The 14,898-nt window shown below is 38.4% G+C and overlaps 2 protein-coding genes across 5 annotated transcripts in view; one reads left to right on the top strand and one right to left on the bottom strand.

Annotated features, from left to right (window-relative positions):
• The window catches only part of PP2D1 (protein phosphatase 2C like domain containing 1), a 32,304-nt gene extending 19,581 nt beyond the window's left edge, over positions 1-12,723 (top strand). The window contains exons 3-4 of one of the 2 annotated variants that reach the window (NR_027694.2): positions 8,388-8,490; positions 12,510-12,723. Coding sequence is in view for 1 of the 2 variants with exons in the window: in NM_001252657.2 (NP_001239586.1) it covers positions 6,502-7,304 (803 nt within the window). In the remaining variant the exon portion in view is untranslated. Of the gene's footprint in view, positions 1-6,501; positions 7,339-8,387; positions 8,491-12,509 lie in introns of those variants that run through there. The other variant, NM_001252657.2, reaches the window with a different exon arrangement.
• RAB5A (RAB5A, member RAS oncogene family) overlaps positions 7,509-14,898 on the bottom strand; it is a 38,079-nt gene continuing 30,689 nt past the window's right edge. For all 3 annotated transcript variants that reach the window (NM_004162.5, NM_001292048.2, XM_047448648.1), the window contains exons 5-6: positions 14,281-14,374; positions 7,509-8,976 (exon numbers count right to left, since the gene is read on the bottom strand). In NM_004162.5, coding sequence (NP_004153.2) covers positions 8,861-8,976; positions 14,281-14,374 — 210 coding nt within the window. In that variant the 3' untranslated portion in view covers positions 7,509-8,860. The remainder of the gene's footprint in view (positions 8,977-14,280; positions 14,375-14,898) is intronic.

Below are 14,898 nucleotides of genomic sequence, written 5' to 3'. Positions count from 1 at the left end.
TCTGGTTACTTCAAATGAACAGTACTAGCTTTCTCCTGTTTTTAGGATATCTTCATTTTTATGTGGACCTTTCTGTCTTCATTCATCACTAATGCGGTATTTGCAGACCTAAGTTGTCTTTCTTCTCTAGATGTGATTGTTTCCATGGGTGTGAAAATGTGTTCATTTGGACTAGTTTAATAAGTTGCTTTTAAAATTATCCCCATCCCTACCGTTTTCCCCTAAAGTCTAATTCAACTCCAGAATCTCCTTCAATTTTGTGCAGGAAAAAAGCCAAATTCTTAACACTGACATTTTATATACCTTCCCTTCCCCTTCTCCGTTTTTTTTGATGGTGGTGCTGAGGAACTCTCACATGCTTACAAACCTGATTCTGAGAACACATTCAACAAATATTTCACACATAGTTGAGACTTGTGCGTAATATAGTTAGGCTTTAGGGGTACAATGGTGAGCAATGAACAATGGACATGAATTTCATGATCACACATCTATAAAACAAAAGGACATTTTGAACATCCAATGAAAGCTAGTTCAACATGAATAAGACTCTTATGCTAACCATTCTTAGGAAGTCACAAAGCTCCTGTCCATGCATAAAATTAAACAAATTCAGCCTCTTTTGCTGAAACTACAGCACTGAAGAAAAACTGGATACAGACTGTTTCCCCTAACCTTATTTACATGCAATCCTAATTTACCTATGCTCCTTTACAATTGTAATTTTTCCTTTCCCCAGTAACTATTTCAATTTTCCCTAAGTTCCAAGTTACCACTGCCTACTATCTTAAGCCTGTAATTCTACTTCGCATTTTCTTATAATTCTTTTATAAATGGGTCTGAAATGAAACATTTTTCATTTCCCCTCAATTTCTTTTGAATAGCCTCTCTACCTGCTTTTCTCTTCTTGGAACACTAAATAAGTGTTCCAAGTGTCTACCTCTTAAATTAGCTTATTGAGTCTCACAATAACTTTGACAACACTGCAGGTGAAAACCTGTTACTTAGTGAAATAAAGTGACCTAATGAAGGCCACATAGACAAAAGTTTGGGGTTAAAGTCTGACTGTCAGGCTCCTAAATCCTTCCACTCCCCATACTGTTTTTCTACACCAAACTGTCCTTATTACCCCTGGCAACGTTGTGCATCCTAGGTGTGTTTTTATTTTTCCTGCTTCACCCATCACGTATATAGGTATGTCTTTTTCTGACCACCACATAAAGTTTCTTTTCCTCTTCTCTCATTCTTTCTTTAAACTCTCTTGTTTTAATCAACACTAAGTCACCTTTCTGGCTTTATCTGAGAAAAATGTTGATATTGCCTACTCAGCTCTAGAAGTCCCTGGTTGGGATTCCAGAGTTCACTCTGTAAGTTTACTGGACTTTTCCTTTTCACAAAAGTTGGTGATAACCCAGTAATTGCAGGAGGCAGCCACATCATTACCCTCTGCATAAGAAACACTGTACCTGACTATGCCACTTTAAAAAGGCTTGAGCATCATCTCCAAGCGGCTCTTTTTAATCCCCAAGATTATTGTTCCTAAACACGTTGCTCTTCCAGTAATCCTGTTCCATTTTTGTTCTGATAACATTTTCTGAAGAGCGCAATCTCTCCAAATACTGAAAGCTGTTACCTTTGTCTAGGAATTCATTTATGCTTAGATTAAAATTGTGTAGTGGTCTTCAACACAGTTCATTGCTTGGTTAGCTGTTCGCATTTCCTCCAAACAGGTGTTACCAATAAACTTTTTCAAAAGTCAAATTGTCCTTTCTCTTAAACTATTGAAGGCTGGTTCCTCTCCACTTCTCCAGACTATGTGGACATAACAGTGATATTTAATAATCTTCCTCTACTTGCAGTGAGCCGAGATCGCGCCACTGCACTCCAGCCTGGGCAACAGAGCAAGACTCCGCAAAAAAAAAAAAAAAAATCTTCCTCTAATTTCCCATCTTCATGGAAACCTTTTGTTCATTATTCTGTTCAAGCTTTCAGTTTAATATAGCACTTGACTTCAAACACCCTGTTTGTAGCTGACAGCATATGCCACTCATTGTTACAAAATGAAACTATTGACTCTGCACATCTAGTTTTTTAGTTCGTTCCATTAGTAGTCTTCCTGATGAATCTCACCCTCTGCTTCCTGGGTTAGATACACAAATAGTTAAGAAACGCTGGCTACTTCTCCTTCACTTTTTCTTTCCTTCATGCACCATTCATACAGGTAAACAATGTGCTGCTGGGTGCAGTGACTGGCACTTGTAATCCCAGCATTTTGGGAAACCAAGCATTTTGGGAGGATCGATTGAGCCCAGGAGTTTGAGACCAGCCCGGGCAACATAGCGAAAGCCTGTCTCTACAAAAAAATGCAGAAATTAGCCAGGTGTGGTGGAACATGCCTTTAGTCCCAGCTCTCGGGAGGCTGAGGTGGGAGGATCACCTGAGCCCAGGGAGGTCAAGGCTGCAGTAAGCCGTGATCATGCCACTGCACTCCAGCCTGGGTGACAGAGTGAAACCCTGTCTCGCATTATCTCCCTTTTTAACAGGTAGAGGAAGAACTGCAACCAGGATTTAATGTCCTTTCTCCTAGAATATTTTATTGTGCTGAATCCAAAGGATGTTCACAAGTAATAAAATGGGCCAACATGGTATGTCCTACTCTGTAGCACAGGAAAAAAAAAAGGCAAATAGTGCATAACGCTACACTTGTCAAGCTCTCTGCAGAGGTAACTAAAATAAAAATAACCTGTTTACCATCCTTCCATTGTAAGTACATATTTCTATTAAATTCTTTTCAAATCACATACTAGGAAAATAATGCTTTTTCTTTTTGCTAAATGGCCTTTGACTTGCCACATGCAAATGAACATTTACAAAGTCAATAGATTTGACTATTGTGAGCCAAACTATGTCCCTTTCGTTTTCAGAGCTATGGCCGTACAATTCGTATGTATGCACACACGTAAAAATTTTTCTCATTTAAGAGGTACTGAACCATATGTACTAACAATTCCATTTACTCAGTTGTCACATTAAGTGCCACTTCATGTTGTCTTGCTGATTCAGTAATAATTTATAATCCAGCAAAAGTCAAGATTTTACTGACTTATGTTCTGCAAAATCTAAGTCGAATAATCAACAGTAAGACAAGTTAACACACAATATTAATAACCAAACTATAAAGAAATGAGGGGCCATATAGCCTTTAGAACTATGTATGTAGTTTCCAAAATGTTTTTCACAAACACCATCTTTTAGTCCCAATCCAGTAGCTCAGCTATTAAAAATTCCTATTATATAAATGAGACAACAGTTTCTGTCTATATCTGACACTAATGCTTTACCAATTTAGGCTTTTTTTGAGTCTCACTCTGTCGCGCAGACTGAAGTGCAGTGATGCGATCTCGACTCACTGCAACCTCTGCCTCCCGGGTTCAAACAATTCTTGTGCCTCAGCCTCCTGAGTAGCTGGGATTACAGGTGTGCACCATCACGCCCGGCTAATTTTTGTATTTAGTAGAGACAGAGTTTCGCCATGTTGGCCAGGCTGGTCTCAAACTCCTGGCCTCAAGTGATCCTCCTGCCTCAGCCTCCCAGAGTGCTGCAATTACAGGCATGAGCCACCACACTGGCCACCAATTTAGGCTTTCCAATTATACCACTATACTAGTTGCATGGACCTCAACCTTTTTTGTTTTTTTTTGAGAGAGTCTTGCTTTGTCACCCAGGCTGGAGTGTAGTGGCGTGACTTCGTATTACTGCAACCTCCACCTCCTGTGTAGAGGCAGTTCTTGTGCCTCAGCCTCCCAAGTAACTGGGATTACAGGTGTGCATGTGCCACCATGCCCTATCGGGGGAACCACCCCCAATATTTCATGTAGGTTCTTTCCTATTTCCCTAAGTGTCCGTCGGTCTCAGAAATAAAGGGAAAGAGTACAGTAAAGACAGAAATTTTAAAGCTGGGTGTCCGGGGGAGACATCACACGTCAGCAGGTTCCGTGATGCCCCCTCAAGCCACAAAACCAGCAAGTTTTTATTAGTGATTTTCAAACGGGAGGGAGTGTACGAATAAGGTGTGGGTCACAGAGATCACATGCTTCACAAGGCAATAAAATATCACAAGGCAAATGGGGGCAGAACGAGATCACAGGACCTGGGTGAAATTAAAATTGCTAATGAAGTTTTGGGCATGCATTGTCATTGATAACATCTTATCAGGAGACAGGGTTTGAGAGCAGACAACAGGTCTAAAATTTACTAGGCGGGAATTTCCTCATCCTAAAAGGCCTGGGGGTGCTACAGGAGACTGGGGCTTATTTCATCCCTTATGTGCAACCGTACAAGAGACATTCCCAGAGAGGCCATTTCAGAGACCTCCCCCTAGGAATGCATTCTCTTTCTCAGGGCTGTTCCTTGCTGAGAAAAAGAATTGAGCGGTATTTCTCCTATTTGCTTTTGTAAGAAGAGAAATATGGCTCTGTTCCGCCTAGCTCTCAGGCAGTGATACCTGATGGTTATCTCCCTTGTTCCCTGAACATCGCTGTTATCCTGCTCTTTTTTCAAGGTGTCCAGATTTCATATTGTTTAAACACACATGGTTTATGAACAATTTGTGCAGTTAACGCAATCATCACAGGGTCCTGAAGCGACATACAACCCCAGCTTACGAAGATGACAGGATTAAGAGATTAAAGACAGACATAAGAAATTATGAGTACTGACTGGGGAAGTGATAAATGTCCATGAAATCTTCACAATTTATGTTCAGAGATTGCAGTAAAGACATGCGTAAGAAATTATAGAAGTATTAACTTGGGGAACTAATAAATGTCCATTAAATCTTCACAATTTATGTTCTTCTGCCATGGCTTCAGCCAGTCCCTCTGTTCAGGGTCCCTGACTTCCCGCAACAACGCCCGACTAATTTTTTTGTGTTTTTAGTAGAGATGGGGCTTTGCCATATTGCCCCAGCTGGTCTCAAACTTCTGGCTTCAAGTGATTTGCCTGCCTCAGCCTCCCAAAGAGTGGCGATTACAGGTGTAAGCCACCATACCTGGCCTTGGACCTCAACCTTCTAAGCCTAAATACGTAAAAAACTGTGGGCCTAGAATTGAACTCCTCCTGCAAGCAACTAAATGATCCCAGGTACAATATCATATTTAAAACCAGAATATTCTATGTAAATTTGGCTTCCTATTCCAGGAATTTTAAATCTCAAAGATGTTATAATATTCAAATATCATTAACCCCATCTCAGAAGTTTAATAACTTTCTATAAATCATAAATGATTTAATATCAAGAAAAACAATATGTAATTATATGTAATTTAAAAAATACGTAATTATATTCCTAAAAACTTGGGGAAAATCAATTTTTCCTAACAAACTAAAAAAATTCAGTGGTTCTTAAAAAATACACCAAAAAAAGTTACAGTAATATATAACCACCCTGCAATCTGTTCAGATCATGTTTAAACTGTAAGATTTCAATGAAGCACACCATCACAGATTCATTTGAACCACGGACAAACTACAATCAACTTTTAAGATTTCAGTTTCCAACCAAAGGGTTTAATGTTGGCTGCCTATTATTCATGTAATACATTAACAACATATTTCTCCACAGGAATGATTTTTTTTTTTTTTTTTGAGGCAGATTTTTGCTCTTGTTGCCCAGGCTGGAGTGCAATGGCATCATCTCAGCTCACCACAACCTCCACCTCCCGGGTTCAAGCAATTCTCCTGCCTCAGCCTCCCAAGTAGCTGAGATTACAGGAACATGGCCACCACGTCCGGCTAATTTTTTGTATTTTTAGTAGAGATGGGGTTTCTCCATGTTGGTCAGGCTGGTCTCGAACGCCTGACCTCAGGTGATCCGCCCACCTCGGCCTCCCAAAGTGCTGGGATTAAAGGCTTGAGCCACCACACCTGGCGGATTGACTTAAATTTTAGAATCTACACATTATAGCAACCTAGTTAAGACTAACATTAATAGTGACATTCTAATTTTTTCATCACCCATGACCTAAGTATATTCAAGTTTTAACTTGTACTGGTTACACAACTGTCATTCTTTTTAAAAAATCAAAGTTTGTGTTTTAAATTGAAAAAGCATTTATCTTAAAAACATTTAAAAATCTCCTAGATGGAATATATGTTGGCTATAAAAAAGTTCAACTCATGACTCTGCAATGTGAGTAATATTAAGTCATTTCATTTCAAAATTTAGAAGTTACTTTGCATTATCTGTAATGTTAATACTAAATGTAATAGTTTTAAACACTAAAAGCTGCTTAACAATGAGGGATAAATTGACCTGTTTGAAATCTGTATTTACTGTAAATCATTCAGTAGTGATATATTACACATATTTAAACGTACTTTTACATAGCCTGCTTTCTGTTTAGCATTGAAACACAGAATTTACTAAAGTTAGCAGTAGATTTTGATACAATTGGTTATCTCTAGGATAAAAATTTCTTCTTTTAAAAAATAATCTTTTAGGTAATGTGCAAGCAGTCTTATGCAGAAATGGGAAAGGTTTTTGCCTAACCAAAGAACATACTACACGAAACACAAATGAAAGAAGAAGAATACTTCAGAATGGAGCAGTCATTAGTTCAAATGAACCATACGGGCTTGTAGAGGGGCAAGTAAAAACTACACGAGGACTTGGATTTCATGGAAATCTCAAGCTGAAAAAATCCATTATCCCAGCACCTCAAACTATTTCTGTCCCTATAGATGACCTATGTCAATTCCTTATTGTAGCTACTAATGGACTTTGGGAAGTTTTGGATAAAGAGGAAGTTACTGCCCTGGCAATGACAACATTTCACATGTATAAAGAAACATACTGTCCTATCATACCTAACAAATCACCATCCAAAGGGCCTCTGCTTTTTTCAACCAGTGAACCAAACCTTACTAAATCACAGAGTAATATCCACGTATTGTTTCAGTATAAATCTGTATCTGAAGTACGTGTGTCAACTACAAATTCCAAAGAAAATTTATCCGATTCAAACTATTCTAAATACTGTATTTATAACCCTGAGAATGTAGAAACATTTCCAGCAGAAACGACTCATCGTAAACCTTGCAGTGAAAAAGTAACTGACAGACCAACTAGTGTAAATGATGTGGCAACAAATGAAAAAGAATCAGACACTAAGAGTTTCTATGAAGGCGCAGCTGAGTATGTTAGCCATGAACTTGTAAATGCTGCTTTACTGGCTGGCTCCAGAGACAACATTACAGTTATGGTAATATTTCTCAATGGAAGTGAATATCAGCTTCTGACATAAAAAAATAAAGTTCCAATTATCCAGAGCACCAAAATATAAAGTGATTCTTCAATGATCCAGCTATTAGGATGATTCATCAATACCATGCAAATAATTTTATGAACATAGTAAAGAAAATATAAAAGCGGATACTAGGTCATATAGTATCATTTATATATATTCACTGTTTTATGCCAAAAAAAAGGAAAAGAGAAAAGCCGATACTTGCTTTTTATACCACTTTATTCCAACCTGAGCACCTCAATATAAAACTAAACACTGGTGAACCGTTTTCCTAATTCTGCATTATCATAAATGTACAAGTTCTCCTAGCAGTCCAACACTTAAATAGATTAAATCATCTCTGACACATGGTAGCTTTCATATAATGAAAATACCTAAAATAATTAGTGCAATATACTGAACTGATCAAAATAAAATGAACTTTGGAAAGGAAGGCTGCAAGATTGTTACTAACATATTGCAATACTTTATGTTACAAATTACGGGTACATTGTTTATTATGGTTCTAGCCATGGAGGAACAACTGAAGCCCCTTCCTGTCAAAGGGGGAGAGAGAAATAATTAGCTGTTTTAGTAACAGTACATTTTGTATGCTTTTAAGCAACTCTTAAATATTACAGAAAAGTAATACAGATATGGAGACTACAATGCAGTACCCTATTTACAGTACAGCTGAAGATCGAATTTAAAATAATCAAGTTTGAATATACATAATTGTTAGTGCATTGACTATATTATGTCAAAAGGGAACAAAAGCCCCCTCCCCACCCCAAACAACAAAACCTGTGTAATGGCCAGCGGTGATTAATTAGAAATCACAGACACCTGGTTTATTTCATTTTTGTTAAAGAACTCACATGTTTGAAAGGAACACTGACCATTAAGGTGCATTTATTAGTTCTCAAAATTCCTAAAACAAGATGGGGTTGCATTTGATTTTTACCCCATTTAAAAAAAAAAAACCAGACTGGGTATAATTAAGATACCATTAATACTCTTCCCCACCCCTGACCTTGTATATGTGGGATTATTTTCTTGTGGTTAATTTATTAAAATGTGGAATGTACATTTTAAATACAGGTACCAGGAGAAATGAACATTTGCCTGAATACTATGGCTAAGCATCATAAATAACTTTAGAATCTCCTTCTAAACAAAGAATGTTTTTGAAAAGCCCAAATTAGTAAGTTCCAATTTTTTTTTCACAGGTGACTACTGTACCAGTGTGGAGAAATGGGCTGGTTAACTGTGTGGGCCCAGACAGTCATTTGTCTATATTCCTAGTGATGAGAAATTATTCCCCCTAACCTTCCAATGAAACAAGTGTCCACATAGTTCTCATTTTTCCCTATTGTTGAAACATTAGTGAGAGGGACCCATGCATGTTATTAAAAATTAAGTTCAAAACACTTAAAATAATTCTGTATTAGAAACTTGACTCTATCATAAGTCTCTTCTTTTGGAAGTCATACTGGGCTGGTTAAATGCTCCAATTCCATTGTTATTAACATTTAGGAAGCAGAAGACTATTCCAGCTAGTTCAAACTAGAGGTTTAGTTACTACAACACTGATTCCTGGTTGGTTGTGTGGGTTCGGTAAGGTCTACTCCTCTTCCTCTGGCAGAATTTGCTCCTGGATTTTGTGGTTCATTCTTTGGCAATTTTTTAGCTGAAAGAAAATGATCAAATAAATAGAATATTTGAATACTCATATTAATATCAGTTTCACCTGCTTATCTATAATTTTTCTTTCCAGTTAGGTTACCCCCAAAGTATCATATAACCATATGTTCATTCTTTTCAAATGTTTACTGAGTATTGAATGCCAAAATATTGGTTGCTGTCTTAGGGAGTTTGATTTCTGGGGTAATTGTGTTGGGGGAACGGTAGATGGGGACTGGTTGTAGATACAATTAAAACTTAAGCCTAACTAGTGCTTTATGTAATTCTCTATACCGATTCACTCAATAATACCAGAAAAGTTCTATTTTATTTTATACTCATTATTACTTCTTTTTTTTTTTTTTTTTTGAGATGTAGTCTCACTCTGTCACCCAGGCTCACCTAGGCTGGAGTGCAATGGCGTGATCTCAGTTCACTGCAACCTCCACCTCCTGGGTTCAAGTGATTCTCGTGCCTTGGCCTCTCGAGTAGCTGGAATTACAGGCATGCCCCACCACACCCAGCTAATTTTTGTTTTTTAGTAGAGACGGGGTTTCACCATGTTGCCCAGGCTGATCTTGAACTCCTGACCTCAGGTGATCCACCTGCTTCAGCCTCCCAAAGTGTTGGGATTATAGGCGTGAGCCATGGCACCTGGCCTCATTATTACTTCTATTAAATAAAATCTAAGTCAATAAAGATGATGGCCAGCCAGTAAGTTTATAAAGAAGCTCAGCTCATATCAGCGTTCTCTAGACTGCCACAAACATTTTTTAGAACAAGTCAGGATACAAATACCTTTGCAATCATCACCCCAACAAAACTTGTCCTCTACTGTGCAACTAATTATCACCCCGAATTGTGATAGATCATATCTACTATTTCCTTCCTGGCTTCCACAGCCTTTGGCCTTAAAACATCTATATACATGCTCTCTTTTTTTTTTTTTTTAAGAGACAAGGTCTCACTCTGTCACCCAGGATTAAGTGCAGTGGTATGATCATGGCTTACTGCAGTCCTGAGTTCCAAAGTGAGATGGGGTCTCACTTTGTTGCCTAGGCTGGTCTTGAACTCTTGGGCTCAAGCAACTCTTCCGCCTCAGACTCCCACGTGCTGGGACTGCAAGCATGAGCCACCATGCTCGACCGCTTAGTTTTTAAAAGAGAAACTTACACCTTGCAGAGTAACCATCAGCTGCCTTCAAATAAAGGGGAAATAGATAAGAGTTGCATTTTTGAGAATGAACAATTATAATCTATGCTTTGGGCAAAGGAAGGACAGATAACACCCAAGTTAGATGCCTGCATGTGTCAAAACTTAGCATACTGGAGGAAACATACTCACACACAAACATACCTTAGCATGCTAGTGGAAATACACTTAGACACAAACATATCCACATACATTTATACATACTCAACACTTCGTTGTGATCTTAGTTTGAATGTAGCCTGCAGCCATACTTCTTTTCATTTTGGAGACAAGGTCTCCCTCTGTAGCCCAAGTTAGAGTGTGGTGCATCAATCATAGCTCACTGCAGCCTTGAACTCCTGGGCTCAAAAGATCCTCCCACCTCAGCTTTCCAAGTAGCTGAGACTACAGGGTGTGCACCACCATGCCTGGCTTTTTTTTTTTGGTAGAGATAGGGTCTTGCTCTGTTGCCCAGGCTGGTCTAGAACTCCTGGCCTTGAAGATCATCCCACCGTGGCCTCTCAAAGTATTGGGATTATAGGAGTGAGCCACCTCAACCAACCTCATTTTCTCCTTTTATGGGCTGATGAATCCTAATCTGACTGACCAGTAGCTGTACCTAATCCAGATAGAATTATCCTGAAGACCTCATCTCCAAAAACTATTTCTTAATTTTATTTGAGTCCGATGAGTGTGGCTTGTCAAATTCAGACAACACTCTCAACCAGCAGTTACGGCTTTACCTCTGCCAAGCTCTATACAGCTAGTGGCTGTTCTCTGGAGTGTGCTTCCCACTGATTAAAAAAACTTACCTGCTGGATATACAGATGCTCCTTGACTTACAATGGGGCTACATCCTGATATATCCATCCTAAGTTGTATGTTTTTGATTTATGATTTTTTTTTTTTTGAGGCGGAGTCTCGCTCTGTCACCCAGGCTGGAGTGCAGTGGCACGATCTCAGCTCGCTACAACCTCTGCCTCCTGGGTTCAAGCAATTCCCCTGCCTCAGCCTCCCAAGTAGCTGGGACTACAGGCACATACCACCACACCCAGCTAATTTTTCTATTTTTAGTAGAGACGGGGTTTCGACATGTTGGCCCGGCTTGTTTCCTGACCAACTCCTGACCTCAGGTGATAGCCCGCCTTGGCCTCCCAAAGTGCTGGGATTACAGGTAGTGAGCCACTGCGCCCAGCCTGATTTATGATATTTTTAATTTATGATGGGTTTCTGTATGTAATCCCGTAGTAAGTTAAGAATGTACTAAATGCATATCACTTTCACCCCATCGAGTTATAAAATCGTAAGTCAAACCACTGTAAAGTTGGAGATTGCTGTAGTTTGTTTTAATACATAAGATCCTTGATGTGCTAAATTCATTTTTTGAGGGGAGGCAGAATATTAAAGATGACTAAGAGTACTGATTTTAAGAGTGGCTGCACACACTGATCTCTATCAATCTTGGGGACAGACCACTATGGTAAGACTCTAACTTTACCATAGCTTTGACTCAGGTTACTCAGAAATTGAATACACTCTGCTTTGAGATCGGATTGCCTAGTTGCATTGTGAACCTTTTATCCTTTATTTGTTCTACACATTCCATTCTACATCAGCATCAATCATTTTTAGAATCCTAGATGCTGGGTTGGGCAATGGATTTGGGAGCCAGGAGCACTGAAGTTTGGAAAGAAAGCCTTCAATTGGGCCACTTCTCTGGGACTGGCTCTGGGCTGGTAGCATAAATAGCATTATAATGGTAAATCTCCAGTCAAATGTATTTACAAGCAAAGCCCCAGAAATGTTGAACACTGGTACCTGGGACACAAAATAGCACTATATATTGTATATAATAACAACTTAGGTTCCAGATTGAGTAATCAATCATGTATCCCTTTAGCATGTTCCCTAAGTGTTTAAATCAGAGGTGAGTGAGATTAAGAGGATGAAGGAGGTAAACTAGAACGAGTAACTTTTTAGTCCTTGCATTGATTAGAGTTGTTATGAGTGCACTGTGTGATTTAAGTTACTAATCTATCAAAGTGTTCCTTCATAACAAAAAAAAAAAGAAAAAAAAATTTACTAACCTAGTGAAGGAAATGGAAAGGCCACAATTCCATTTACAACATAGATTTTCTTTTAAGAAGTGCAACATTCTGATTTCAGAAAAAAACAAAAAACTAAAATATGTAGGCTGCTTTCTAACTCGAAAAATGACTTTATTAGCATGTTTGAATAAAAAGGTACAAACTAAAGCCCATCTGGTAGAGTTTAAATATTGTGAGAAAGGTTTACAGTGCAGGCTGATTTGAGAGGCCTATTAACTCATTGTTTCCTCTAACTTTTCAGATGTGATTCTGGGTGTCATCTGTCACATTTGTAAAATGAGTATATTATCACACAATCCTTCGCAACTGTGCCAGCACTTCCCTAGCAAACTGCAAACTTGAGTTTTTCAGGAAAACAGTTTACATGAGAAAAGGCAAGTTCTTTCCCATTTCGAATGAAGTACCATTAAACTCTGTCACCTAGTGAAAAATAATAAAAATACTTGCAACTTTTACTGGGTTTTCATTATTCTCTGATTCAGCTATTAACTATTTATGAGTTCAATTTAAGAATATTTCTTACTTGGGGTTAGGACTGTGAACACCCCAGTTAAGAATCAGTGCTGTAAAATAAAAGGTGTTATGGGATGAGAAGAGTGCTGGGCACATGAAAACCACAGACGGCAAACTTTGAGAACCACCAAAACAGACCCTTCAGGTAGAATCTATACATTAAAACCACTGGAAAGAGGAAAGGGTTAAAAAAAAAATCCAAAACCAAAAAACAAAACCAACCTTTATTTTTGTTATAGAAAAAAGGAGGCTTATTACTACTCCAACTTCATTACTTATAACTGAAACAGCAATTACCATCAGTTAAAAGTACCTTAGGGCCAGGGGCAGTGGCTCGCGCCTGTAATCCCAGCACTTTGGGAGGCTGACGTGGGCGGATCACAAGGTCAGGAGATTGAGACCATCCTGGCTAACATGGTGAAACCCCGTCTCTACTAAAAATACAAAAAAAATTAGTCGGGCATGGTGGTGGGTGCCTGTAGTCCCAGCTACAGGAGAGGCTGAGGCAGGAGAATGGCGTGAATCCAGGAGGCGGAGCTTGCAGTGAGCCGAGATCGTCCCACTGCACTCCAACCTGGGTGACAGAGCAGGACTCCATTTCAAAAAAAAAAAAAAAGAAAGTACCTTAGGCTGGGTGTAGTGGCTCACGCCTGTAATCCCAGCACTTTGGGAGGCCGAGGTGGGCAGATCACGAGATCAGGAGTTCGAGACCAGCCTGACCAACATGGTGAAACCCTGTCTCTACTATAAATACAAAAATTAGCTGGGCGTGGTGGTGTGCACCTGTAATCCCAGCAATTCAGGAGGCAGAAGCAGGAGAACCGCTTGAATCCGGGAAGTGGAGGTTGCAGTGAGCTGAGATCGTACCATTGCACTCCAGCCTGGGCGACAGAGCGAGACTGTCTCAAAAAAAAAAAAAGTACCTTAAAGCAACAGCAAGAACATTGTGTAAGATCAAATGACCATCTGAGGTAATATAAAGTATGGATGTTGTTTTGTTTTCCTTTTTTCTCCTTACGCCTCTATGCTTTGAAATCATCTTCCTTATAATGTTTACATTAAAATAATTTGTCAATCTGTATACTTATGTGTCATGTTCTTCTGAGTTATATTTACCAATAATTTGATTTTTAAAAAGTATAATCTAATAAAAAAAATATTTATCCAAATTTCCCAGCGAAACCTTTGCAAAATCTGTCTGTCTGAACTATCAGGTTAAGAGGTTAAGGCTTAACTCACCTGGAAGAAGCTGCCTAAACTGACAGTATTACAACCTAATAGGTAATCATCTTTCAAATTTAACAATATTACCAACAAAATATTGTTTTGTGGAAGGGACTTAGAAAAGTGGTATAATCTCTCTCTCTCTCTCACACACACACATAAACATACACACAAACCCACCCCCAAAAATTTTTTAAAAAAGAGACAGTCAAACCAAATATGCTTCACACTTGTTTTGCTTATATTGATCATTTAAAAAGAGATATTAATCTTACCTATTGCCATGAATATTTCATTTACATTCATTGATGTTTTAGCGGATGTCTCCATGAATAATAAACTATTGTCATCTGCATAGGACTGTGCTTCCTGTTTACAGAACAAAAAATGAGATATATGAGATATATCTCTTGGAAATACACTACACCTGCTTTAAACTTGTTATAGAAAAGGAGACTTTCTTATTACTACAACCTGATTCCTATAATCATCTATAATCAACAACTATATAATAAGCTACAACAGAGGTAAGAGCACTGTGCAAGATAATTTTATAATGGACTATTTCCTTTTTTGTCTGAAATTCTTGCATTATCCCACCTTGATTAATCTTTTCTTACATTAAATCTGCTTTCAAATACTGAGTTCCAGAGATGGGGGAGAATTATCTTATTCTAAATAAAACTCTCTTTGATCTCAACGGCAATTTTTATTTGCACTTACTGTCTGCAATGAAGACAAAGGGAAACCAAATATCTAACACTGGCTTCAAACACTAAATGACAACCTCATATTTAATTTTCAATGACTTCTACAGCAATATTATAATCTTGAATATATCATAAATCATTCCTTTGAAAATTACATCACTGCCCTACATTTTTGTCATGCTT

Source organism: Homo sapiens, chromosome 3 (assembly GCF_000001405.40).
Source record: "Homo sapiens chromosome 3, GRCh38.p14 Primary Assembly".
In the NCBI taxonomy this organism is placed as follows: domain Eukaryota; kingdom Metazoa; phylum Chordata; class Mammalia; order Primates; family Hominidae; genus Homo; species Homo sapiens.
This window is presented reverse-complemented; position numbering and strand designations above follow the sequence as displayed.